The sequence below is a fragment of the Homo sapiens genome, chromosome 19, assembly GCF_000001405.40.
Source record: "Homo sapiens chromosome 19, GRCh38.p14 Primary Assembly".
In the NCBI taxonomy this organism is placed as follows: Eukaryota; Metazoa; Chordata; class Mammalia; order Primates; family Hominidae; genus Homo; species Homo sapiens.
In genome coordinates, this window is record NC_000019.10 from 56081758 (window position 1) to 56108486 (window position 26729).

A 26729-nucleotide genomic window follows, 5' to 3' on the forward strand; every position below is an offset into this window, starting at 1 on the left:
TCCTGCCTCAGCCTCCCGAGTAGCTGGGATTACAGGCGCCCACCCCCACGCCCAGCTAATTTTCATATTTGTAGTAGAGACGGGGTTTCGTCATGTTGGCCAGGCTGGTCTCAAACTCCTGACCTCAAGTGATCGGCCCGCCTTGGCCTCCCAAAGTGCTGGGATTACAGGCGTGAGCCACCACGCCCGGTCTAAACAAGGTATTAGTGAAGCACCTGACACACAGTGGTGCACATTGAACCGTCACCTTGCTCCCCAGGGTCCCAGCTATCAGCCATATCCAAGCCCTCACTGCGGAGAGTAGATAGGAGACAGTCACTTCATACATTCTTGGGGACATGATAAGCGTCTGACCTCTGGGGAGGGTGATACAGCTGGATCTGTTGGGATCCAAACGCACATTCCCCTTCATCTTACAGTTCCTGTCAGGACAAGCAGCACAGGGTATGGGTCGGATTTGGTCCGATTCTTCCTGCTGCATTGGTACAGTAGCAGAAGACTAGAAACAGGCAGACTGCACGTCAGTCAGGAATTAAACACTGTGTCTGCACAAAGGAACGCTTTGAAAGTGTTTTTTAAAATAAGAAATGTAGATAGGGCTCTTTGGAACAATCATAGGTAGATACATAAATAGGTATAGTTGATAGATACATAGATAGCTAAAGATAGATGACAGATAACAGATAGGGTACACAAATAGATTATTGAGAGATAATAGATGGTGAAGATAGGAAGATCACAGATATGTACTATGGAGGTAGATGATAAATTGACACATATCTATGTAAGTAGATAACAGATGATATACATGTATGATATAGATTATAGATGATAGACACATGGATGGTGTAATGATAATAGATGACAGATGACTGATACATAAATGATAGCTACATATAGATGACAGATATAGATAATTGATGCATAGAGGGAATAATAGAAGACAATGGATTGGTATATAAATGATAATATATGTAGATAGATGATGTATAGTGGATATATACATGATACATGATGATGATAGAGATACATATGTAAGGGGCAGAATAATATGCAAGGAATGCTTTCATTTGATAAATTTATTTTATTTATTTATTGAGACAGAGTTTCGCTCTTGTTGCCCAGGCTGGAGCACACTTGTTTGTGTTTATTTATTTTAGTTTTTGAGACAGAGTTTCACTCTTGTTGCCCAGGCTGGAGCACATTTGTTTGTTTGTGTTTGTTTATTTATTGAGATAGAGTTTTGCTTTTGTTGCCCAGGCTGGAGTGCAATGGTATGATCTCAGCTCACCGCAACCTCTGCCTCCCAGGTTCAAGCAATTCTCCTGCCTCAGCCCCCCGAGTGGATGGGATTATAGCCATGTACCACCATGTCCAGCTAATTTTTTGTATTTTTATTAGAGACAGGGTTTCTCCATGTTGTTCAGGCTGGTCTCCAACTCCCAACCTTAGGGATCTGCCTGCCTCGGCCTCCCAAAGTGCTGGGATTACAGGCATGAGCCACCGCACCCAGCCTGATAAATTTACGTTTTAAACCCACTTGTAGATTCACTGAGTATTTCAAGGGATAATGCAGGAAGAAGAATGAGGAATTTGGGAGTTGAGATTTGGTAAGTAATCTCTTCCTCAAAGTATCCATTACTTTTTTTAAAAAAATCTTATTTGTGACCAAACATCAATTGCTGATCCAAATCCCCCTGCCAGAGTCCCCACCAGCCTGAATGAGGCTGTCCGTCCACAGTCTACTTGCTGTCATGGCTAGTGGCCACCCCACTTCACAAGCATCCCATAAGGTACAGATAGACTGATCTAAGTGTTGGCATTAGATTCTGACTATTAAGCTCTGCTACTTATCAGCTGTGAGAGCCTGGAGGACTATTTAACCTCCCCAAAGCCTCTGTTCCCTTATCTGTAAAATAGGAACAATACCCTCTTCGAACTGATCGGGAGGCGTTAAAAGGGAACGCGTATGGATTAAACTGAGCTCCATCATCCCAGACTCAGCTGTGGGGGTGGGGGTGGGGGGTGGGGTGGGGGGGGGGGGGGAATCTCTGTCCATGGTGCTGAAAGACCGGCGCCAGAAAATAGGGAATTTCTGGATAGACTTGTCCATCAAGGCAGGAGAGGAGGCAAAATCAATGGTGCCAGAGGCAACTCCGTCCCCACCCACAGCCTCTTTGAGTGGTAGATATGAGGGGAAGGAGGGTGGATGTATACCACAGACACACACATACCCACATGCGCACAGACATACATATGCACAAAGATACAGATGCACCATCCACACAGACATGCATTCATACATGCAGAGACACACACAATTCACATGCATGCACTTCTCTAAGGATGGCCTGGAGTACACCAGCCCAAGATGCTCTATAAATGGAAGGTTTTCTGACAGAACAAGTTCAGAAAATGCTGCATGTTTTCACCTACCCCTGCCCTGGCCCCCAGCCCCACCCGGGTATACAGAATCATAGTGGAAAGTTCTGAGCCGGGTGGGTGTGGGGGGCTAGTTTTATAATTCATCCAGTCGACTAAATCTTGGCTCAGCACCTTCCACCTGCCAAGTACTGTTCTGTGTATGAGAAAATTTCAATCCGGCAGGGTGCAGTGGCTCACACCTGTAATCCCTGCACTTTGGGAGGCCAAGGTGGGTGGACTACTTGAGGTCAGGAGTTCAAGATGAGCCTGACCAATATGGTGAAACCCCATCTCTACTAAAAATACAAAAGTGAGCCGGGTGTGGTGCTGGGTGCCTGTATTCCCAGCTACTTGGGAGGCTGAGACAGAATTGCTTGAACCCAGGAGGCAGAGGTTGCAGTGAGTCCAGATTGCACCACTGCACTCCAGCCTGGGTGACACAGCGAAACTCCGTCTCAAAAAAAAAAAAAAAGAAAACTTGAATCCAGCATTTTCCCAGGTTATTTGAATACAAGATCCTGTTTTCTCCAAACATCTTAACAATATTCCCTGGAACCTACACTCTCCAGGCTACCCTTAGGGAAACGGGGCTGTATGGAATAAAATCATTTCCAGATCAACACTGCCTTCAGGCTGGGGAGTAAGCTGGGTGGAGGGTCCCTTTCCACTCACCTGTCTGGCCCTCACTCCCCCTGGGATTGCCTGTCACACCTGCCCCCTGCCCAGGACTCCTCCACCTCCTGCCTCCTGAGAGCCTCTTTTTGTCCCTTCAGCCCTTAGCTGTGTGTATCCCCTCCCAGCCCCCATGACAGCAGAGATTTGTGCCTGTTGAGGTCACTGCTGTGCCCCCATGCTTAGCAGAGTCCCTCACAGGAAAGAAGTGCCCGATAAACACCTAAGATTAAGTGGATTATCAACTCAGCAGGGGGCCGGGGGTGGGGGGCATGGGTGTCAGGACTTTAGATCCAGATTAAGGTTCTACCACTTTACAAACCAGTAGCCTGGGCAGGCTGCTTCCTCTCCTCGTACCAGCTTCAGCAGCAGCAGCCGAGGAATGATGGCAACCACACAGGGCCTTTGTGAGGACTGGACTCCGTAAGGGGCGTGAACGAGTCTGGGCGTGCCCTCCACCAAAGTGAGCATGAGAGGAATGGGGGCCGAAGGAACTTCTGCGGTCACTGCCAGGGTGGGTTTGTGAGCATGGAGCGGCCGCCTAGCCTCACCTTGCCGTGGGTGAGCAGCTCCAATGCAGGTGAACTACAGGGCCGACGGCAAGTGCCACAAGAACCCATGTTCCTTTCTTTACCTGGGACCCACGCCGTGCCTACTGGGCACGGAGCTGCTGCCCAAAACACATTTGTAGAATGAGTGAGTGAGGGGTGGGCAATGACTACCTGAGTGCATGAATCAGTAACGGACAGCGTGTGACACCAAAGCACAGGTCAGGTGTTGGGTCCGGTGCAGGCTGATGTCAAGGTGGTCATGTGAGCTCGCTCAGTTCTGTATTACAAAGTGGGATGAGTAGTGCAGAGCTGGGATTTGAGCCTGGCTCCTCGCCCCTGCATCTTTGCTCATGCCTGGGAGGGCAGCTCCAGTGAGTTAACACATGGCTTGGGGATTCCCCCCTCCACACACAGTCATACAAGGCAGGCAGGCAAGCTCTCCTTTCCACAGGGCAGGAAGCCAAGGGTCAGAGAGGTTAGTCCACTTGCCCAGGGTCACACAGCCTTAAGGGGCAGGGTGGAAACTTGCCCTGAATCTTTCTTGCTATAGGTGTCAGCTCCTGCCACCATATACTGGAGCAGGTAGAAGAGGCTGACCCGAGACTCAGTGTGCCCGACTTATGGGGCACCGAGCTGCCAATTCTACCAGACAGGGCACCTCCCATCCTCCCAGGCCTCCAGAAGTGCCCAAGGCCAGAGCTCCACAGAAGGACCCTAGGAGAAGTGAGCAATGCTTCCTCAGTCTTTGCTAACCCAGCCCACTCTGAACTGCCAAGGTTCACCCCCTCCTTTCGAGTGACCTGAAATTTCAAAAACTGACATGCAATACCAATTATCTAAGCAAGGCTCTGGCCACTTGAGAACACGCTTTTTTGATCCACAATCACTCCCTAGTCCTCTAACAAATCCTCCAGGATCTGTAGACCATCAGTGGCCCTGGTTTCTAAACCCCCTGCCTCCAGATGAGGCCCCAGGACCCTCCTCAAGCACATCAGGGTGTGAAAGGGCAGATTAAGGGCTCTAACTGGAAATCCGAATTTCTCCTTCAAGTCCCCCTCTACTATGAAACCCCCAAGTCAAAGACGCCTGCAGCTTGCCGCCTCCAATCGCTCCTGAGTAATCGCAGCCTTCAGCCAGGTTGAAAATACCCCTTTGGGACCCTCACTGCGGCCTCCCAAGGCCCCAGGAACATGGGTCCTCAGGACCTGGGCTGTGGGTCCAGGAAACCAGTCGCCATGGTCGAGCCCCCTTCTGATCATGAACAACAGCGCTCACCTGGCAGGGCGGCTGCAGCGGCTCTACCGGACCAAGCCCCTCGGGCACGCGCACTGCCTGAAATGCCCTAAGCGCTCGGCTGGACTGTGGCATACCCGCCCTCTCCCCCAGCCCCTGGCTGGCTCGTCTGCCTGGCCCCTGCAGCAGAGACAGCTGAGCGCACCATCCTCCTCCCGTAGGGGGCGGGGGGTCCTGTCCCCGGAGCGGCAGCCGCCGGGACCTCATCTCCCAGCCTCCTTCGCAGGGAGCCGCAACCACGGGACCAGCCCCGTGAACGACCCAGGTAGGGGGACGTGCGCCCTTTGCAGTCAGAGTCTCCCCCAGAAGCTGGAGGCAGGAGGAGGGTGCTTTTGGGGTTAGGGGCGGGGGCCACACGATAGGAGTGGAGGAAGCCAGCCGCCCCTGTGAGAGGGTGGTAGAAGCCGTGGGGGCTCCTTCCCCTGCAGCGGGCAGGCCTGGCCCTGACCAGTCCGCCCTGCCCCATCTACAAGCAGCTCCCAGGCCCTGTGAGTGCCCGCACCATAGTGAGGATATCCGCGGACAGGCCCCCCTGCCTAGAGCCCTCCGCGGGCGACCCAACGGGCCACTCCCGGGGCGCGGCTGACGCTCTGCTGATGCCCCGGCGAGAGCCTCCGTTTACCCCTCTTGCCCTTCTCCCTCCCGGACTCAAGAACCACGCAGAGGGGGACATTTGGATAGTGCCGTTTATTGTTCCAGCACCCCTTCCTCCACCACGCCCAGGCCTGGGACAAACGGGCACCCGCCTCCTGCGGCGCTGCCTCTGCTACCCGGAATCCAGGAGGGGAAGGAACGACTCGAGCTCTAAGGATGGGACCCGGAAGGCAGAAAAAAATAATGGATTGGGGCGGGCGGGGAGTCAAAAGGTGGGCTGATTAAAAGAAAATTCTAAAAGAGAAAAGGGCCCCTGGTTCTCTTCCCTCTCTGGGATCCTCTAAAGGGCCTGGTTTCTCCATTCCTCGCAGCACCCCCCACCCCCGCCCCGGACAACTGAGGAAGAGCAGGGAAAATGGCCTTCCGCTTGGGGCCTGGTCGCCACTCGGCCTCTGCAGTTCTCTCCATTGTCTCTCCGGCTCGCAGGCCGATAACTTAGGAAGGGCGGGCCAGGCTGAGGGGGCAGAGTCTCGAGGCGGAGAAGTGAACGGGCCCTAATACGCCCCAGTGCCCCCCCACGGACGGCGCAGGGACAGAGGAGGGCGGGGAGCCGGGGATGCCGCGGGGTCCATCGCACCCCGTCCGCTTCTCCCTGGGTCTCTTGGTCTTGCACGTCGTCGCTCCCGCCAAGCCCGAGGGGCCCTGCCCGCCCCCCCCCCCGGGCCCCTCCCCTACCGGCCCTCCCCACCGCGGCACTCGGGGCACCGCCCGCCCGCGGCCTCGTCGTCGTCGTCCTCCTCCTCCCCGCCCGCGCGGTAGTAGCTCTGTCCGCAGCTGCTGCAGACCGAGGGCGCGCCCACCGCGTGGATCTTCTTGTGTCTCCGGAGCGCGGCGCCCTGCACGAAGCCCTCCCCGCACTCCACGCAGATGTGGGCCGGCTCCTCGCCCCCCGCCGCCCCGAGCCCGTCCCCGTGCTGGGCCCGCTGGTGCGCCAGGAGCCCGGCCCCGTGCCCGAAGCCCTTCCCGCACTCCAGACACACGTACGGCTTGGGGGCCGGGGCGCGCCGCGACCGGGGCCCCGCGGCCTTTGCCCCCGCGCCCGCCATGGCTGCCGCGGCCGCGGCCCCCTCGCCCGGCGCGCCCACCACGATGATGCCCTCGCCATCGCCCACGGGGATGGCGATCTCGCCGTCCGCCGCCACCGCCTCTTCGGGCCCCTTGGCCCGCCGGACGCTAGCCGCCAGCACCTTGGCCGCCACGCCAGGCCCCGACAGCTCCGGGTGCAGCCGCAGGTGACGCGCGAGGCTCTTGGGCTGGCTGAAGCCGCGGCCGCAGCGCGGGCACACGAAGGGCTTGAGGCCGCTGTGCGAGCGCCGGTGCTTGGCCAGGCTCTTGCTCTGAGTGAAGCTGCGGCCGCAGTCGGGGCAGGTGTAGGGCTTCTCGCCCGTGTGGATGCGCTGGTGCTGCATGAGGTTGGAGCTCCAGCTGAAGCGCTTGCCGCACTCCAAGCAGGCGTAGGGCTTCTCGCCCGTGTGGATGCGCCGGTGCTGCACCAGGTGCGAGCTCTGCGAGAAGGTCTTGCCGCAGTCGGCGCAGGCGTTGGGCCGCTCGCCGGTGTGCGTGCGCTGGTGCCGCGTCAGCTTGGACCAGTGGCTAAAGCTCTTGCCACACTCGTTGCAGATGTAGGGGGCGGGCGGCCGCGGCCGGGGAGGCGGGCCGGCTGGGGGCGCAGACTGGGGCGGGGACAGCTTGGTGGGAGGCCAGCTGGGGACGTCGTCATCATCCATGATGAGGATGTCCACTGGAAAGCAAGAGGGTAGGGGGAGGTGAGTCAAGAGAGGCAAGGGCTCCACGCCTGCCTTGGCTGCTACGCTGGCCTCGGGTGCCTCGCTCCCCCTGGCGCAGGACCTGCCCTGGTGTCCTCAGAGTGTGCATCACTCCCTGCATTTTACTAAGTATTTATTACCCCTCTCCCCAGCTAAGACCTCAGCTCTGTGTGAGTTAAGACCCTCAGTTTACCCCCAACCTCTAGAACAATGCCCCAGACACAGAAGGCCTGGTCTGTAAACAACCAGGCAACATAAGAGGCATGGGCGAGGGGCGGGATCCACGGAAGGCTCCCAGAAAAGGACCCCGAAACCCAAAACACCAGCCTGGACGCCGGGGGCAGAGGATGAGGAAGGCTCACGGGCAAAGGTTCCACTAGGCAGAGGGGCCGCAGGGCTTGAATGCAGCCCTGGACACCTGGTCCTGAGCCAGGGAGTGGGTTTGGCACCCTGAAGACGTGCCCGCCAGGGAGCGATGGTGTCACATTCGGGCTCCAGGAAGACAATCCTGGCTGCAGACAGGTAATGGGATTGGAGATGAGCATGAAAGCCCCACCTCCGAACCTGGGAGTAAAACCTGGCTCAACGCCACCTCCATTACAGAGGCTATGGTCAGCCCCTGGTGTGGGGGCTCCTGTCTGCTCAGTGAGGACAATTCGGGCACACAGGGCTTTGCCTGCACATCTTTACACTGAGGACGCCCTTCCAGCAGTCAACGAGGCCTTTCACACTTCTGCACCAGGCCTGCCCCTGGGGGCTCTCCCGGGAGGGATGGGCTTGCCTCCTCCCCAGCTCATTCACTCCTGAGAAGGGTCCGTGTGCAGCTTCTACATTTGCTCTCCCTTGGGGCCTGGTCCAGAGCAACAGAATCAGGTGGGAGGGCCTCAGCAAGTGCATCTCTGACCCCCGTGGACACCCCAGGTGCACCCCACAGGGTTTTTTCAAAGCCATGAATCACAATTACAACGTTCTCACTCCTGACCTTACTAGACTGTAAGCTCCTAAGTCTCTATCCCAACACCTGGCACGGTGGTGCCCAGCACACAGAGCCCAAACACCCTCCCAGATGCCACGCTGGCAAACACGCAAGGAAGGGCCATGACGCCCCCCTGCGCTACACACTTCAGCGTCAGGTCCTCATAAGCTGGGAGCACAAAACTGAGCCTTTACAAGGGAGAAACTGAGGCACTAGGGAGTCGAGTCACAGCCCACAGCTACACGACTACAAAGTGGCAATGCCCAGAAGCGCATTAGTAGACTGGGTCCAAGAAACAGCCATCTACCACTAACTGCGGCCGCCCACCGCTAAATCCCCCACCCACAGGCAGCACACCCTACACGCTAAGGGAGTGCTCCACAAAGTGGGATCCTGCGACCAGTAGCATCGGCGCCACAGAGAACATATTAAAAACATTTATGCACTGCCCGGAGCGGTGGCTCACGCCTGTAATCCCAGCACTTTAGGAGGCCGAGGTGGGCAGATCACTTGAGGTCAGGAGTTCAAGACTATCCTGGCCAACATGGCAAAACCCCATCTCTACTAAAAACACAAAAATTAGCCGGGCGTGGTGGCGCATGCCTGTAGTCCCAGCTACTTGGAAGGCTGAGGCAGGAGAATGACTTGAACCCGGGAGGCAGAGGTTGCAGTGAGCTGAGATCACACCACTGCATTCCAGCCTGGGCGACAGAGCAAGACTCCATCTCAAAACAAAACAAAAACGCTTATGCTCAGGCCTCCCTCCAGACGCACTGTATGAGAAAGTGCCGGGCCGGGCCTGTGCTTCAGCAAGCCCCCCAGGTGATTCTGATGCCAGCTCCAGTGTGAGAATCACTATTCCAAGGCAGAGAGTATTCGAATATGGCTCTTGAACCTGCGGCAGAAGAAAACACTCCAGGTGAAGTCAGGAAGGGGGGAGCCTTCTGGAGAGATGGCATGGAGCCCACTGCGTTGTCAACATAAATCAAAAAATGTTGTAAGTTATAAGCACATTACTTAAAGATGTAGAGAGAATTAAAAACAAACATCAGAAGCTATTTGCCCCGGGGCAGTGTGACTGAAGGGGACAGAAAGGGACGGGCAGGAAAGAGATTTGTTGTCACCGTAAACCGAGCCATACTATCTGAACCTTACAAGTGCTTCTACGCCTTTAATTAAAATAACTGCTTTGTTTTCGAAGCTGTGAAGAAAGAAAGTGTAGCAATGCTCCCTGTGACTCAGCTATGAATAGCATTTATTCATGACGACATGAATTCTGAACACAAAACTTGTGACACAGTGGCAGCTAAGACAGGGGCACTGGGGCGGGTGTGCAGTACGTGGAGAGCGCAGTGAGTGGAGAGTGGGGAGAGGATGTGGGAGCCATGTCCTCACCTCCCATTAGATTTGCAACTATCAAAGCAATTTCATGAGCTCTTTACCTAGAACCAGGGAGAACCCCAAAGAGTGCATGGAGGGGCTCCTTCCTCTAGAGGCAAACTGGGAGTGGGGAAGGCAGGAGGTGGGAGCTGTTTTCTGCTTTAGGCCGTAGGCGATCTGGCTTCTCTACAGGCATCTCTGCACTACTTTTTCTAAGTACGAGTTAAGCACTGTTAAATGGACAGGGTTTAATTACTTAAAAGGCAGGGCTCTTTTACATCTTGCAGATTCCTGGGCTCTGCGCAAACCTTCCCGTGCTGCATCTCAGTAAGGCCCAGGAAACCGCGCTTCACAGGCACAGACTGGTTTCTGACAAGAGGCTGCGTCTGCACCGCGCATGGGCCAAGATGAGCCGCTCCACTTGCCGCAGCCGCAGCCGCAGCCGCAGCCGAAGCCGAAGCCGAAGCCAAAGCCAAAGCCGAAACCGAAACCGAAGCCAAAGCCGAAGGCGAAACCGAAGCCAAACGGAAGCCAAAGCCGAAACCGAAGCCGAAGCCGAAGCCGAAGCCGAAGCCTCACCCTCACCCTCACCCTCACCCTCACAGGAGCAATGAGGCTAACAGCCTTCTCCACCTCACAGCACCATCTTTAAAGGGATTCAACGAATTCCCAGCAAGAGAAGAGCACGGTGAGGAGCACAAGAGTTCTCATTCAATTAAAAAAATAAGAAACAATGAGGGCCGGGGCCACTCTGATGGTGGCAGCAGTTACCCTTGGGGGAGGGCAGTGTCCCCAGACGCCTGGCCCTGGGCTAAATGTGTTCCGTGGATTACCACATTTAATCCATGGCCAACACTATCACTGTCCTCTCACTGAAGGACTCAGCTGAGGTCCCGAGGGGATGGGCTGGGGGGCGGTCCTCCACTCCAGATCCCCTACGCCCCAGGCTCTACCTCTACGCCTCCTGCCCCACCTGCAGCACCACTACTCCAGGAAGCCCAGGTTTCCCCTCCACGGGAGATAAATGTTTCTAGAGCAAAATCTGGAAATGCTTTTTTTTTTTTTTTTAAGATAAAATTCCTGAGTTCACACTGATACTTCCCATAGAAATTCAGGACTAAAGTTTTCATTCATCCTTTTCTTTGTGACATCTGCACCTCCCTTCAGCCCCACGGAGAATCCTGGTTCTCAAGGACATAGGGGATGACAGAACTGGAATATCCCACAGACGCAGGGGATGGCGGGAGTGGGATACCCCACAGACACAGGGGATGACAGAGCTGGAATATCCTACAGACACATGAGATGGCGGAACTGGGATACCCCATAGACGCAGGGGGTGGCGGAAGTGGAATATCCATAGACACAAGGGGTGGCGGAAGTGGGATCCCCATAGACACAGGGGATGGCGTAAGTGGGATACCCCATAGACACAGGGGGTGGCGGAAGTGGGATCCCCATAGACACAGGGCATGACGCAACTGGGATACCCCATAGACACGAGATGGCGGAAGTGGGATACCCCATAGACACAGGAGGTGGCGGAAGTGGGCTACCCCATAGACACGGGATGGTGGAAGTGGGCTACCCCATAGACACGGGGTAGCGGAAGTGGAATATTCCATAGACACAGGGGATGGCGGAAGTGGGATATTCCATAGACACAGGGGATGGCGGAACTGGGATATTCCATAGACACGGGGATGGCGGAAGTGGGATATCCCAGACACAGGGGTTGGCAGAAGTGGGATATTCCATAGACACAGGGGATGACAGAATTGAGATATTCCATAGATACAGGGGATGGCGAAAGTGGGATATTCCATAGACACAGGGGATGGCGGAAGTGGAATATTCCATAGACGCAGGAGATGGCGGAACTGGGATGCCCTATATTACAACCCTCTTGCTGGGTGCACACGCGATCTCAGGGTAACAATGCTACTGCTACCACTGCCAGGCACAACTCCTGGACTGTGCTGCACGCACCGTCCTCCTTCCCCTCAGTGTTTTCTCGGCTGCATCCCCTCCGTCAGGTGCAGGTCTTGGCCGACTGAGACATGTTCGGGCTCAGGAGACTGACCTGCTCACACCCTCCTCCCATCCCTTTCCCTGGTCAGTTGTCTGAGGCTCATTCGCTTTTAGGTTCCTCAGGAAGGGCACAGAGGAACGGGGTTCACAGGGCTGTTGCTGGGTAGCCTGTCTGTACCCTTCCCATCTGAAGGTCCCTTTTCCGTGAGTCATAATGCCATTTTCTCCTGGCATAAAGTGCTAAGTCCGAGCATAGTCATGTTGACTTTCCAAGTCTTCCACGCTTTCTGCCACGAAGGATCGGTGACTTCCTTTAGCGTCCAGCAATTCTAACGCAACCATCTGTGATTTGCTCTTTCAATGCGCAGCTTTCATGTGTTAAGGGGTGTTCCTTGAATGAGTTTTTACTATCCGCTCTATTCTTTTGCTTTGGGTCTCTTCTTCAGGGACTCTGCCTATCCATATGTTGGATTTTCTTTTCCTAACTTGTTTCCTTTAAAACTGTTTTAATCTTTTTTCATTTTATTTATTTATTTTGAGACGCAGTCTCACTTTGTCACCCAGGCTGGAGTGCAGTGACATGATCTCGGCTCACTGCAACCTTCGCCTCTCAGGTTCAAGTGATTCTCATGCCTCAGCCTCCCGAGTAGCAGGGATTACAGGCATGAGCCATCATGCCCGGCTTTTTTTTTTTTTTTTTTTTCATTTTCAGTAGAGGCAAGGTTTCATGTTGGCCAGGCTGGTCTTGAACCTCTGCCCTCAAGTGATCCACCCGCCTTGGCCTCCCAAAGTGCTGGGATTACAGGCATGAGCCACCATACCTGGCTAATTTTGTGTGTGTGTGCTCTTAGTAGAGACAGGGTTTCTCCATGTTGGCCAGGCTGGTCTCAAACTCCTGGCCTCAAGTGATCCACCAGCCTTGGCCTCCCAAAGTGCTGGGATTACAAGCATGAGCCACCACGCCCCGCCTTTTTTTTTTTTCTCATTTTAAAATGATCCTCCTTCTTGCCTTCAATTTTTTTAAAGAACGATGTTTTTATTCTTGAGTTCCTTCTACATTAGTCTTCATTCTGAAAGGTTTTTGTTCTTATTTGCAAATCTTTGCCGAGGCTGCCCCCTCGTTTCTGAGTTTGTGATTATGCTGTTCTTTCACACGCTGCACTGCCTCAGCTCGTTCACAATCAGCGGCCCCCAACCTTTTTGGCACTAGGGACTGGTTTTGTGGAAGACAATTTTTCCACGGACAGGGTGGGGAGGTAGCAGGGGATGGTTCAGGGATGAAACTGTTCCACTTCAGATCACCAGGCATTAGATTCTCATAAGGGACCAGGCTCAGTGGCTCACACCTGTAATCCCAGCACTTTGGGAGGCCGAGGCAGGCGGATGACCTGAGGTCAGGAGTTCGAGACCAGCCTGGCCAATGTGGTGAAACCCCATCTTAACTTAAAAAAATACAAAAATTAGCTGAGTGTGGTGGTGTGTGCCCGTAATCCCAACTACTCGGGAGGTTGAGGCAGGAGAATCACTTGAACCCGAGAGGTGGAGGTTGCAGTGAGCCAATATCGCACCATCGCACTCCAGCCTCAGTGATAGAGCGAGACTCCATCTCAAAAAATAAGATTCTCATAAGGAACACACAACCTAGACCCCTCATATGTGCAGTTCCCGCTCCTGTGAAAATCTCATGCCGCCGCTGACCTGGCAGAAGGCGGAGCTCAGGTGGTAATGCTCGCTCATGCGCCACTCACCTCCCCAAGTGTGGCCCAGTTCCTAACAGGCCACGGAGCAGCACCAGTACCAAGGACTGGGGACCCTGTACTAAATGATCTTGATCTTGTTGGGATGCACTTCCGGCCTGCCTATCTGTAGAAATGCCATCCTGTCCCTTATCTTTTTTATTATAATCACTTTTGGGAAGGTTGAACTCAGTATTTTTCTGTTGCTCATTTTATGTATAAGTTTCCTTGAATTTCTAGGAGGCGGCTTGGTTCAGGGTAGCTGTTCTAACTTCTCAGAGGTTCTCACACAGCAGGTAAAAACGCTGCAACCAGCCTGCACAGATGCACACACTCCAGCCGCTGTCCCCACTGTCATCAGGACCTTCTCCTGCCTTCCTCTGTTGCCAAGGACAGGGGCCCTGCTCGATTCTGATTCCTCACATGAGGTTCTGCCCTGCACAGCACTTTACCTGGTTGCTTAGAGAGCTGCAGGGCCTGAGCTGCCCCAGCCCCTTTTGGGCCTTCCCACCAGCCTCTCTCCCCACTACCCTGGTTTGGACAAAACAGCTCCTACTTCAGCTGCTGGTCCTAAAGTGACCCCGACTCCCCTGCCCAGCTTTGCAGTGAAGACCTGCAGGCTGTCTGTGGCTCTCCTCTGCTTCCCTCCTCCCAGTCAGATGCTAACACCACACAGGCCTCGGTGGTTTATCCTCATCCAGCTGTATTTTGCAACTCATGGGGATAACTTAGGACCTAGTAACTTTGCAACTGTGATCCAGGGAACTTGAGTTTTGCTACCTGGTTGCCGTGTTTTTATGCAGGGATACAGGAGATTCAAGGGCCACGCTGTGGCTGCTCTGCCATCACCCAACACTCAGAACTGTCATCTGGCCGGGCACGGTGGCTCACACTCGTAGTCCCAACTACTTAGGAGGCCAAAGCAGGAGGTTAACTTGAGCTCAGGAAATTGAGACCAGCCTGGGAAACATAGTGAGACCCCGTCTCTAAAAAAATAAAAAAAATAAAAAAATAAAAAAAATAAAAAAACTAGCTGGGTGTGGTGGCGTGTGCCTGGAGTCCCAGCTACTCAGGAGGCTGAGGTGGAAGGACAGCTTGAGCCCAGGGGGTCAAGGCTGCAGTGAGCAGAGATGGCACCACTGCACTCCAGCCTGGGCAACAGAGCAAGACCCTGTCTCCAAAAAATAAAAAGAGATAGGCTGGGCCGCTCATGCCTGTAATCACAACACTTTGGGAGGCCGAGGCGGGTGGATCACGAGGGCAGCAATTTGAGACCAGCCTGACCAACATGGTGAAACCCCGTTTCTACTAAAACTACAAAAATTAGCCGGGCATGGTGGCGGGTGCCTGTAATCCCAGCTACTCAGGAGGCTGAGGCAGGAGAATCGCTTGAACCCGGGAGGCAGAGGTTGCAGTGAGCCGAGATCGTGCCGTTGCACTCCAGCCTGGGCAACAGAGTGAGACTCCGTCTCAGAAAATAAATAAATAAATAAAAATAAAACAAAATAAAATAAAGAGAGATGAGGGTGCACTGAAACATGGAGCCCGTGCTCACCCGAGGGCAGCCAGAACTCCAGCTGTAAGACACCGGCTGAAGCTTTCCTGTTGGCACCGCTCCCTCCTCAGAAGCGGAATGTCTTTATTTCGTTATCTGAACAGCTCTGAGGCTGCCTGAGCTGTCGCTGCCCGGTCCCACACCCCTCACCCTCTCAACATCGGGAACTCCATCTGGGGTCATCAGGAGAAAAGGCCCCAGGAGGCAGGTTAGGAAGCGCCAGTCAGCCTAGAGCCATGGGTCTCACCCTCCTGAGATCTTCAGGAGCCCCGGCCTCAGCCTGCAGGAGGCTGCATGCCACCCACCAGCCCCCAGCTCCACGGCCCAGGCAGGTGTCTCGGCCCTTTTTTCCCAGCACCCAGACCTCATGGGGTTTTGTGCAAATCCAACAAGGTAACCACCTAAGGGGGCTGCACTGACTGCAGGCACACAGGACGTGATTATGAAGTGCCGGCCATTATTCCTACCAGTATTAGCTCAGAGGATCTGAACACACCTCCCAGAAATACTCAAATACAGAAAAAAATCACAAAATTTCTAAGGTTTCAAAAACGCCCCAGGTCAATCTATCTAACCAGAAAGAACACTGGCTTTGTGGCTTTTCCAATCTCACATGCAGTTCTTCACCGTGCTACACGTGGGAAACGCCGTGCTGTGAACTTCACGCCCACCACAGGCCACGCCTCGCGTCTCCACTGCGGGCCTCAGCCCGGCAGGCAGTAGGATGGACTGCGTGGACGGCGGCCAGCATGTAAATGAAACGGAATGGAGGCAGGAGGAGGAAACACCCGCACGTGCTGCTAGCACAGGAAGAACTGTTCTGTGGAACTTTTATTTTGGTCTCCTATAAAATCCGTACGTTTCTTTTTATCTGGCTGTGTTCCTGCGTGCAGGCACGGCGCGAGGGATCAACTACCCCCGGCCCTGACGGCAAAGGCGCTGCAGAGCCAGTTTACTAAAATGAAGGAAGCCGAGACCCCAGGGACAAAGCCACCTGGCCCAGGGGACACACAGCACCCTGCTGTGCCACGTCTCTCAGGGGCCTTCTGGTCATCAGCAGGGGCAACCCTACTGGAGTGACCTCCAGTAAGAGATGGGGTGGGGAGGTTCAAACCTTTGGAATTTCGGGAGGCTTGGGGGAGAAGAGGCATGGAGACTTTTGTTCAGACAACCTCATGCTGAAGCCCGGCCTGCTAAGCCCAGCAAGGGCACCCCCGGTCAGCACCCGAGGCCCCACCCCCGACCCAGGTCTCCAGGGACACTGAGGCAAAGCCATGGGCCTGGGTGAAGGAGCCTGGGGCCCATACAGCTCCATGGAAGGAACATGTGCCAGGGGTTCCTGGCACGCTGCTCTCCCCACAACAGCCACAGAAAGCTTTCCAACCACCCAAGCCTCCCTGGGGACACCTCTGAACAGGGGACATGGCCGGGAGCTACCCACAGTCCAACTCCTTTCCTCTTCACAAGAAGGTCCCAAGTGTGGGCTGCCTGGGATTCCTCTGGATCGTGGGGACCCACCTGCCCTGGCCAGTGAGGCCTGCCTGGGAGCTTCAGAACCCATTCTCCTCTCACACTCCTCAGAAGGAGAGGCCCAAAGACAGGCAACCCCATGCTGCAGGGTGATGCCACCCAGGTAATACGGCCGCAGGGTGATACGGCCGCAGGGTGATTACGGCCGCAAGGTGATGCCGCCCGGGTGATTACGGCCGCAGGGTGATACAGCCGCAGGGTGATGCCACCAGGGTGATATGGCCGCCGGGTGATGGAGCCTAGGTGATACGGCCACCAGGTGATTACGGCCGCAGGGTGATGCCGCCCGGGTGATTACGGCCGCAGGGTGATACAGCCGCAGGGTGATGCCACCAGGGTGATATGGCCGCCGGGTGATGGAGCCTAGGTGATACGGCCACCAGGTGATTACGGCCGCAGGGTGATGCCGCCAGGGTGATACGGCCGCTGGGTGATGGAGCCTAGGTGATATGGCCACCGGGTGATTACGGCCGCAGGGTGATGCTGCCCGGGTGATTACGGCCGCAGGGTGATACGGCCGCAGGGTGATATGGCCACCCGGGTGATACGGCCGCAGGGTGATGGAGCCTAGGTGATAAGGCGGCACCAGAGAGAAGTGGCACAGCAGGACACTGCCGGAGCTTCCTGGGGACCCACCACCTGGGGCTGAGGCACTGCCTCGGTGTGGCCAGGACGTCACAGCAAGGGGCCCAGAGACAAGCGGCTCTCAGGAGAGAGGCCACCCTGGATCTGTCCCGCCTGCAGGCCAGCTGCCCGAGAACATATCAAGTCCTTCTGGGCTAGGCCACTGCTGTCCGGGTTCCCTGTAATCAGCAGCTGAGAGCGTCCCCACTGCCCAGTGGCTTCCCAGGGCCCTCGAGCCACACTGCCACATCCCCTGCAGGGCAGCCCAAAGCCCCTTCCTCCGTGAACGAAGCCTTGCCTGGCCCCCAAGACGGGACCCTCTGGTTGAACAGTCTGCACCCTGAGCGACCTGGTGCCCCAGGGAGTGATCTCCAGGAAGCTGAAGGACAGGCACGCAGGGGAGGGGACATGGGGACATTTCTGCTGAGACAGCATTTCATGGAGCAGAGAGCTGGCGGAAGGGGACAGAAAGGGGGAGTCACACCAGGTGCGGTGGCTCATGCCTGTAATCCCAACACTGGGAGGCCGAGGCGGGCAGATCACCTGAGGTCAGGAGTTCAAGACCATCCTGGCCAACACGGTGAAACCCAGTCTCTACCAAAAATACAAAAATCAGCCAGGCATGGTGGCGGGTGCCTGTAATCCCAGCTATTTGGGAGGCTGAGGCAGGAGAATCGCTTGAACCTGGGAGGTGGAAGTTGCAGTGAGCCGAGATCGTACCACTGCACTCCAGCCTGGGAGACAGAGTGAGGCTCCGTCTCAAAAAAAAAAAAAAAGAAAAGAGAGAGAGAGAAAGGACGAGTCACACAACACCCTCTGGGGAAGAAAACTGCAGCAGGGCCACGCAGGCTGGGGGCCGTGTCAGGGGTCCAAGACCAGCTGGGAGGCAGACGGGGAGACAGTGTGTAGGGCTGGGAGGCTGGACAGGCGGCGGATTCTCGCTCCCGTCAAGCCAGGACACCTTCACAGGGTTCTGAGCACGGCGCCGGGATCTCGCCTCCTCCCCAAGAGGCTCAGGAGGGGACAAGGATAGGGACAGAGGTCGCAGGAAGGCCAGTGCGCCGTGACTGTGTGTAAGGCCACAGGGCTGGGGCCGTGGTGGGAAGAAGCGACCATACTCGGGATGTATTCCCAGAGCAGGTGCCGGGACACACGGAAGTCAGGAGCTGAGGAAGGGTCCGGGGTGAGGGCCCGCTGGTCCACGGCATCTACCCCAAGGCCTCTCTGTGCTGAGTGCCTGCAGCCTGGCTCGGGTGGCACCCTCCCTCTTTGGCACTCCAACCAGCATCTCCTGCCTCCAACACAGGACATAGACACCCTGCCCCATGACCCAGCACTGCAGGGCTGGGGTTGGCAAGTGCTCAGGCTGACACCTCCTGCTGCTGGTTCTCTCTGCCTCCTTCTCAACCTTCCCTAGGCCACTGCTCACATGCAGGATGGTGAAAGTTGCCTCCTCCCTGTCTGAGGACCCCACAAGGTAGGCTGAGGGCCTGGACGCTAATTCCGCAGAAGAGGCTGGGGCCAGGTGGGCTGCGAGCCCTGCTGGTTCCCTTTTCTCTGCCTGGCGGGCATGCTCCCCTGCCCCTCCAGGGTATGCTCCTCTCCAGATGCCTGCCCCATGGGCCCCCATATCCCTCAGCAATAGGCTAGAGGAAAAGGGACCACACACGCCATGGCCAGGCCAACACCCGCCACCCCACCCCCACCTACGATGTCTGTCACTGTCACATAGGAGGGACGCACATAAGCGGGACCCCACATGCTATGGCCAGGCTAACCCCCGCCACTCCACCCCCACCTACGATGTCTGTCACTGTCACACAGGAGGAATGCACGTAAGCGGGACCCCACATGCTATGGCCAGGCCAACCCCCGCCACTCCACCCCCACCTACGATGTCTGTCACTGTCACATAGGAGGGACGCATGTAGGCGGGACTCCATACGCCATGGCCAGGCCAACCCCCACCACTCCACCCCCACGAACGATGTCTGTCACTGTCACATAGGAGGGACGCACGTAGGCGGGACTCCACACGCCATGGCCAGGCCAACCCCCGCCACTCCACCCCCACCTACGAAGTCTGTCACTGTCACATAGGAGGGACGCACGTAAGTGGGACCCCACATGCTATGGCCAGGCCAACCCCCGCCTACGATGTCTGTCACTGTCACATAGGAGGGACGCATGTAGGCGGGACTCCACACGCCATGGCCAGGCCAACCCCCGCCACTCCACCCCCACCTACGATGTCTGTCACTGTCACATAGGGGGGACGCATGTAGGCGGGACCCCACACGGGAGTTACGCGAACGCCGGACACCAGAGCAGCTTGGGAGCGTGCGCAGCCCATCTTTGACAGCCGAGCAAGGGCGTCACGCAGGGGTGATGCTCCAGAGGCGGCGCCAAGCGCAGGCCCTCCCCGGAGCCAGCTGCCTGGTGGGGGACAGGACTCCCACAGACGCAGGGCCAGGGCTGGGCAGGGCAGCGGGCTGGACAAGGGGACCTGACACCTACCTTCTACAAAGAGAGTGAGTGTATGAGTGACTTGTAAAATTAAAGATGAACTTACTCAAAGACAAGCATTTTGGAGACAACGAAGTATTTTAAAAAGGACCGGGTGCTAGATTAGATGAAGTTCCTGAAAAATGACATTTTGTTAGATGAGATCAGCTTCCTGTAGGGCTTTTTCTTTTTTTCAAGGAGTCCTTACATGTTGGAGAATTTACAGACAAAATGATGTGATGGATATTTTCTCTAAAACGCTGTGGAAAGAGAACCACAGTGGGCAGAAAGGGACCAGCAGTGCCGCGAATCGCTGGCGCAGGAAGAGGGATTCATCACACTGCGTCCACACACTTGAGATTTCCACAGAATTAATTTTCGAAAAGGTTCGAAGGCCAAGGATGTATGCGAGGGAGAAGGCAGGGGCAGCCCTCGAGGGCTGTGGCGGTGCGGGATGGCAACCACCCACTGAGACGCGGGGCAGCCTGGGGCCGGGGTGTGGGCCCCCTGGGCATGCGGTCCTGGCAACGCACTCAAAACCCCCATCATAGTTTCTACCCCGGGACCAAGGCTGCCACAGCCCCGCCCACAGGGAGCTTCTGTTCATGCTCCATCCACAGATCTCAGAAATCACTCAAAAAGGGGCTGAGGTGCTTTACAAAATCGATCCCAAACTTCACCCCGGTCTTTGTATGGGACGACTCAGCTATGCCAGCCTGAGCTGGCAAGCTCTGCCGGCCTTTCTGCATCAAGTGTGCCCACGCATTTCCGTGTGGACTGTGGCTGCGTGGTATCTGTGAGGCCCGCAGCCTGCAAGATGAACAGTATTTCCTCTCTGGCTCTCTGCAGAAAAGGTCTGCTGAGCCCCGGCCAGCGTGGGGCCAGCGTGGGCCTGGGACCTGGGGCCTGACATGCAGACACAGCAAGGAGAGAAGCTGCCGCACCTTATTCCTCAGGTCTGAGGCAGGGAGGCGGCCTCCGTGGAGGGGAGGGAGGCCATGAGGTGTCAGGGGCCACAGTGAGGTCACCATGGGGCCTTCGCAAGCAAACCTGGGCCCCACGTAGCCCACAAATGAGTTTTGCTCAACCCCAATAATGCTTTATTAAACAAACAAAACACATTGCCAATGTCCAAAAAGTGAAGGATTTCACATAAAAACCCAAACTGACAACTTTCCCTGAAAAGTCTGCGTCAGCCTGCGGGTTCCCTGCACTCCTGAGCTTTCCCTGAAAAGTCGGCATCAGCCTGCGGGTTCCCTGCGCTCCTGGGCCACCCCTGGTGTAAGGAGTTTCCTGCCAGGGAGGGCCACAGGCCCGCCTGGAATCATAGCAGAGGGTCCAGGATGTGGAGGCGGGGCTGTGGGGAGAGGAAGGGGGCACCCTCAACAGACGGGGGTGCTGCCCAGGCTGGAGGGGCAAGGACAGAGGAAGTCAGGCAGAGAAGGTGGCCCCCAGGGGTCCCCAAGATCATCCAGCAGAAAGGAAACTTGGAGCCACAACACTAGCCCTCCCTCTACAGCCAGGAGTGCAAGGCCCAGGGCGGGAGGGGAGGCCAGGGTCGGGTGGTCCCAGGGCCCCAAGAGGGGAAAACAGGGAAGGGGGGTTTCCTCCCACCCAGAGGCAAAGGAAGCCAGGGTCAGGTGGGAGGCAGCGGGGTCGGCTGGGAAGGCCTCTGGCTGCTCACCTGGGTTCTCGTGACTGGCCATCTGCTGGTCCTCAGAATCCAGCGGCCCCGGAGACCAGGCTTCTTCCCGCAGCTCCATGTCTGGGTCCCTGTTAGAAGGGGATGAGACAGAAGGACAGAGTTTATGGGGTGCCAGGCTGCACCGAGGGCCCTGCAGGGAGGCAGCCTGCAGACCCCGGCGTGACAGGCACAGCGCCCGGCAGACAAGGCACACAGCACCTACCCCAGGACACCGAGAACTGGCCTGGAGCTAGCCTGGCCGCTCCCCACTGCAGGGGCCAGCCAAGGCCTCACACAGCCGCAGGAAGGACTCAAGGACCCTCAAGGGCTACAACCACCGCCAGTTCCCATCCCAGCCCCACCACTCCCCAGCTGGACCTGGGGCAAGCAACCCCACCTCGCGCCTCCTCGCGCCTCAGCTTCCTCACTGGCAAGATGGAGAACATGTTACTGTCAAGCGTACACAAGACAGTGTACATGTGGTGCTCATGCCAAACAGGGACTGGAGTTCCCACACCCCTGGCAGATACTTACCCATCACAGCAGAAACAGGGCAACAGGCGCCTAAGGGTCTCTGCACACGACACTCCCAACCCGTGCCACACACCGTGAGGGTCTCTGCGCACGACACCACCGACCCGTGCCACGCACCAGGAGGGTCTCTACGCACGACACCACCGACCCGTGCCACGCACCGGGAGGGTCTCTACGCACGACACCGCCGACCCGTGCCACGCACCGGGAGGGTCCCTACGCACGCCGCCGACCCGTGCCACGCACCGGGAGGGTCCCTACGCACGCCGCCGACCCGTGCCACGCACCGGGAGGGTCCCTACGCACGACACCGCCGACCCGTGCCACGCACCGGGAGGGTCCCTACGCACGACACCGCCGACCCGTGCCACGCACCGGGAGGGTCCCTACGCACGACACCGCCGACCCGTGCCACGCACCGGGAGGGTCCCTACGCACGACACCGCCGACCCGTGCCACGCACCGGGAGGGTCCCTACGCACGCCGCCGACCCGTGCCACGCACCGGGAGGGTCCCTACGCACGACACCGCCGACCCGTGCCACGCACCGGGAGGGTCCCTACGCACGACACCGCCGACCCGTGCCACGCACCGGGAGGGTCCCTACGCACGCCGCCGACCCGTGCCACGCACCGGGAGGGTCCCTACGCACGCCGCCGACCCGTGCCACGCACCGGGAGGGTCCCTACGCACGCCGCCGACCCGTGCCACGCACCGGGAGGGTCCCTACGCACGCCGCCGACCCGTGCCACGCACCGGGAGGGTCCCTACGCACGCCGCCGACCCGTGCCACGCACCGGGAGGGTCCCTACGCACGCCGACCCGTGCCACGCACAGTGAGGGTCTCTACACACGCCACTGATCCGTGCCACGCACCAGGAAGGTCTCTACGCACACCACCCACCCGTGCCACGTACCATGAGGGTCTCTACACATGACACCACCAAACCGTGCCATGCACCAAGAGGATCTCTACACACACCACCAACCCGTGACTGTGAAAGTCTCTACGCACACCAACACCAACCTGTGCCATGCACTGTGAGGGTTCTCTACGCACACCACCAAGCGGTGCCACGCACACACACAGCTAAAGTGGAGAGCAGAGCCTTTGCCACGCGCCCGAGTTGTTGAAGGGTTCATACCCAGATCTCTCTTTTAAAACAGGCTCCCTGGCTGGATGCGGTGGCTCCCACCTGTAATCCCAGCACTTTGAGAGGCCAAAGCAGGTGGATCAGTGGAGGTCTGGAGTTCGAGACCAGCCTGGCCAGCATGGCGAAACCCCATCTCTACCAAAACACAAAAATTAGCCAGGCCTGGTGGCAGGGGCCTGTAATCCCAGCTACTCAGGAGGCTAAGGCAGGAGAATTGCTGAAACCCAGGAGGCAGAGGTTGCAGTGAGGAGAGATCACACTCCAGCCTGGGCGACAGAGCAAGACTCTGTCTCAAAAATTAAATTTAAAATAAAATAAAATAAATAAATAATAAAAAAATAAAATGAAACAGGCTCTGAGGCAGCCCTCCCAGCCCTTCTCCCACCCTCCTGCAGGCGCGGCTGGAACCTGAACCCTCGCACAGATCAGGGAAGGGCAGGGCCGCCAGGTGGAGCTGTGGCAAACGTGCCCTCCCAGCTTTCCACATGCTGGGGTTTCATAAACCAGGAGCGCCTCAGCGAAACTCCACGGGGAGGACACAGGGCTGCCAACTTCGACAGCCGAATAAGGGCAATTTAAAAAAACGTCCTGCCGGCCTGAGTGCAGCGGTGTTTACAACTAACTGCCAGTTACGGATCTCTTTGTTCCTTCTCCATGCCAACTGCTTCACTTGACTAGCCTTAGAACAAAAAAACCTCCTACCTCCCACGGTAGAGATTTGGGGCTTGGCTCCCCGAATCCCCCGGCACCTGCAGGAGGCAGGGGCTGTAACCACCCAGCTTCTCGGGGGAAGCCTCCAGCAGGAGCCACGAGAAACCTGCCCGAGGAGGCACAGCCTCCCACTGCCGGGCCAGGGCTCCAGGGCTCACACCCCAGGGCCCACACTTCTTTATTAAAACAGCTTCATTAAGATGTGATCCCCTCACCACAACATTCCCCCATGTAAAGTGTACGATGCAATGATATTTAGTGTATTCAGTTTTGCGACCCTCACCACAATCAACTTTACAACAACTCCAAAAAGCCCGCGCGCCCACGGCAGTCACCGCGCATTCCCCCGGCCGCGCCCACGGCAGTCACCGCGCATTCCGCCCTCCGCGCCCACGGCAGTCACCGCGCATTCCCCCCTCCGCGCCCACGGCAGTCACCGCGCATTCCCCCCTCCGCGCCCACGGCAGTCACCGCGCATTCCGCATTCCCCCCTCCGCGCCCACGGCAGTCACCGCGCATTCCGCCCTCCGCGCCCACGGCAGTCACCGCGCATTCCCCCTTCCGCGCCCACGGCAGTCACCGCGCATTCCCCCGCCGCGCCCTGCAGCCTCTGAACTCCTTTCCGTCCCTCTGGACTTGCTGCCGTGTGCTCTGCACAGGAGAGGGACAGCATCTGTTCCTGCGTGTCTGACTCTTCCACACAGCATGGTGCTGCGGCGTGCCAGCGTGTCGCTCCTCTCTCGGGCTGAACCCCACTCCACTGTACGGCGGCCACAGTGGTCCATGCACCCACCCATCGCTGGAGGACAACTGTGAGCTGCTTCCACAGCGGGCATTGTGTATACTCCAGCTTCAACGCCGCGTCCATCCATTTATTTCTGTGGACGTTCGCGTTCATCTCTCTGGGAAGGAGAAGCCTGCGCAGGCCCCAGCCCGCCCGCGAGTCTTCAATTCTGTGTCTTATCAGAGTTGCCTACTGAGGTGGAGGCGGGCACAACCCTCGACCAACCATTAGCAAAGCCCATGCTCCGGCCGTCTGGCCCCAGTTCCTGGTGTGACCTCACCCCCAGGTGGGTAGGACTCCTGGTGAGACACAGCGGCGCCACCCCACCTCGTTCCCCAACAACCTCAACACCGGAAGAGAAAACCCAGGCGAGGCCCCCTTGGGCTGAATGCACTCGGCTCTGAGGAAACCTCCGGCATCCAGCACCTCATTCCAGGCCGGGGTCTGCAGACCAGCACGTGGGAACGGCGGCATCCAGCACCTCATTCCAGGCGGAAGTCTGCAGACCAGCACGCGGAACAGTGGGGCTTCCACCTGAGCACCACACACCTCCTTGGCACAACCCCTCTGAACCGATTTTCCCGAGTCCCTCCAGTGACAAGAAGCTCACCACTATCCAGGTACAGAACGGAGCCAGCCCCACTGCAGGGTGCTGTCAACCTGCCCTCACGAAGGGCCTGAGAGTCTGAGGAGAACTCGGGACGTGCCTGTTTAAATAAATTCATGTGCACAGATATGCCATGTGGGTCACTGGGCAGCCCCTGGCCACCCCACCCCACGGTTCCAGGCACTGCTCTAAACGGCTGACGAACTGTGAGTAGATTGGGGTCCATGATAGCCCTCTGGGTAGGTCTGACTGCTGTCCCCATTATGCAGATGAGGAAACAGAGGCCCAAGGTCTCTCCGTGGGGAAGGGGAGAAGGGAAAGGCTGGAGGAGTACAGAAACAGTTCACACACAGACCATCAGGCCCCAAGTCTATGCCCAGTACCACCCACCACTACGCTCGCCTCAGAAACTGTGTTCAAATCCCACGTGGGAACATGAAGGCCGCGCTCTCCAGGGTCCTCATTTACTGAGCACCTGCGAGGACCAGCAGACATGGGGTCACCAGAAGACATAAGGGTCACTGGGAGAAACGAGGGTCACCGGGAGACACGGGGTCACCGGGAGACACGGGGTCACTGTGAGACAATGGGGTCACTGGGAGAAACGAGTCACCAGGAGACACGGGGTCACAGGGAGGGACAAGGGTCACCAGGAGAAAGAGGGTCACCAGGAGGGCCGAGGTCCTGCCCCCAAGGCTCACAGACAGCAGGAAGGAAGCACACGGGGAGGGGGGCCTAGGGGCAGAAAAGGGAGGGGGGTCTAGGGGGAGAAAGTGACGGGCAGCTCTGTTGGGGAGGCTGGGGTGGGCCCTCAGAAAGAAGGCACCACAGGAGCATTCCCTGGATGGGCAGCGTGGAGGGGAGGGGACAGGCAGCAGCTTGAAGGCCGGGCATGCTGGGGGCTGCGGGAGAGGCCGCTCGAAGGCCGGGCATGCTGGGGGCTGCGGAAGAGAGAGCTTGAAGGCCGGGCATGCTGGGGGCTGCGGGAGGGGCTGCAGGTGTGTGGGGCAGTACCTGCCGGGAGGACTGCGAGTCACCTGAAGCGCAGGGGACCCTTAGAGGTGGGCACTGTTCTGACGCTTGTCTTATGGATGTGGAACATGAGGCCGGCAGGGCGAGACCCTCGGGTCCCCTGCAACACGTGAAGGGCAGCACTGGCGGCAGCAGCCAGGAGCAGTGTCTGTGCCAGGCACAGAGCCACAGAGACTCCCAGGAGACTCTCTCAGCTCCAGAAGCGGGAGGCACTGAAGGCAGCCCTGCCAGGAGGCGCCGCTCCCCGCTCTCTCCACCCAGCCCCTGCCCAGTGCTCCCTCCACCTCGCCCCTGCCCAGCACTCCCTGGCTCCCTCCACCCCGCCCCTGCCCAGAACTCCCAGCTCCCACCACCCAGCCCCTGCCCAGAGCTCCCCGGCTCCCTCCACCCCGCCCCTGCCCAGCACTCCCTGGCTCCCTCCACCCAACCCCTGCCCAGAGCTCCCCAGCTCCCTCCACCCTGCCCCTGCCCAGAGCTCTCCTCCAGTCCTCCCAGCTGCCTCCTCTGGACTCCAGGTGAGGGCCAC

At 57.5% G+C, this 26729-nt stretch overlaps 1 protein-coding gene across 3 annotated transcripts in view, besides 8 other annotated features; it reads right to left on the reverse strand.

Annotated features, from left to right (window-relative positions):
* Positions 3254 to 3755: an enhancer, noted in NCBI's record as "H3K4me1 hESC enhancer chr19:56596377-56596878 (GRCh37/hg19 assembly coordinates)". NCBI's record gives its function as "activates a minimal SCP1, AML or CMV promoter by ChIP-STARR-seq in primed H9 embryonic stem cells {active_cell/tissue: H9 hESC(primed)}" and the evidence as "EXISTENCE:reporter gene assay evidence [ECO:0000049][PMID:30033119]".
* Positions 3756 to 4255: an enhancer, noted in NCBI's record as "H3K4me1 hESC enhancer chr19:56596879-56597378 (GRCh37/hg19 assembly coordinates)". NCBI's record gives its function as "activates a minimal SCP1, AML or CMV promoter by ChIP-STARR-seq in primed H9 embryonic stem cells {active_cell/tissue: H9 hESC(primed)}" and the evidence as "EXISTENCE:reporter gene assay evidence [ECO:0000049][PMID:30033119]".
* Positions 4591 to 5190: an enhancer, noted in NCBI's record as "H3K27ac-H3K4me1 hESC enhancer chr19:56597714-56598313 (GRCh37/hg19 assembly coordinates)". NCBI's record gives its function as "activates a minimal SCP1, AML or CMV promoter by ChIP-STARR-seq in naive and primed H9 embryonic stem cells {active_cell/tissue: H9 hESC(naive and primed)}" and the evidence as "EXISTENCE:reporter gene assay evidence [ECO:0000049][PMID:30033119]".
* Positions 5609 to 26729, reverse strand: part of ZNF787 (zinc finger protein 787) — a 33930-nt gene continuing 12809 nt past the window's right edge. For 2 of the 3 annotated variants that reach the window (NM_001002836.4, XM_047438164.1), the window contains exons 2-3: positions 21382 to 21470; positions 5609 to 7335 (exon numbers count right to left, since the gene is read on the reverse strand). In NM_001002836.4, the coding sequence (NP_001002836.2) occupies positions 6266 to 7335; positions 21382 to 21460 (1149 nt within the window). In that variant the 5' untranslated portion in view covers positions 21461 to 21470 and the 3' untranslated portion in view covers positions 5609 to 6265. Of the gene's footprint in view, positions 7336 to 19892; positions 21471 to 26729 lie in introns of those variants that run through there. The other variant, NM_001351682.2, reaches the window with a different exon arrangement.
* Positions 9163 to 9332: an enhancer, noted in NCBI's record as "experimental_51805 CRE fragment used in MPRA reporter constructs". NCBI's record gives its function as "activates a minimal promoter by MPRAs in K562 erythroleukemia cells, with activity observed for both the introgressed and non-introgressed 19:56602374 variant alleles {active_cell/tissue: K562}" and the evidence as "EXISTENCE:reporter gene assay evidence [ECO:0000049][PMID:34662402]".
* Positions 9462 to 10661: an enhancer, noted in NCBI's record as "MED14-independent group 3 enhancer chr19:56602588-56603787 (GRCh37/hg19 assembly coordinates)". NCBI's record gives its function as "activates an origin of replication core promoter dependent on BRD2, BRD4, P300/CBP and CDK7 cofactors, and independent of MED14, by STARR-seq in HCT116 cells {active_cell/tissue: HCT116}" and the evidence as "EXISTENCE:reporter gene assay evidence [ECO:0000049][PMID:35650434]".
* Positions 9462 to 10678: a biological region, named in NCBI's record as "MED14-independent group 3 enhancer GRCh37_chr19:56602588-56603787".
* Positions 9667 to 10172: an enhancer, noted in NCBI's record as "H3K27ac-H3K4me1 hESC enhancer chr19:56602793-56603298 (GRCh37/hg19 assembly coordinates)". NCBI's record gives its function as "activates a minimal SCP1, AML or CMV promoter by ChIP-STARR-seq in naive H9 embryonic stem cells {active_cell/tissue: H9 hESC(naive)}" and the evidence as "EXISTENCE:reporter gene assay evidence [ECO:0000049][PMID:30033119]".
* Positions 10173 to 10678: an enhancer, noted in NCBI's record as "H3K27ac-H3K4me1 hESC enhancer chr19:56603299-56603804 (GRCh37/hg19 assembly coordinates)". NCBI's record gives its function as "activates a minimal SCP1, AML or CMV promoter by ChIP-STARR-seq in naive H9 embryonic stem cells {active_cell/tissue: H9 hESC(naive)}" and the evidence as "EXISTENCE:reporter gene assay evidence [ECO:0000049][PMID:30033119]".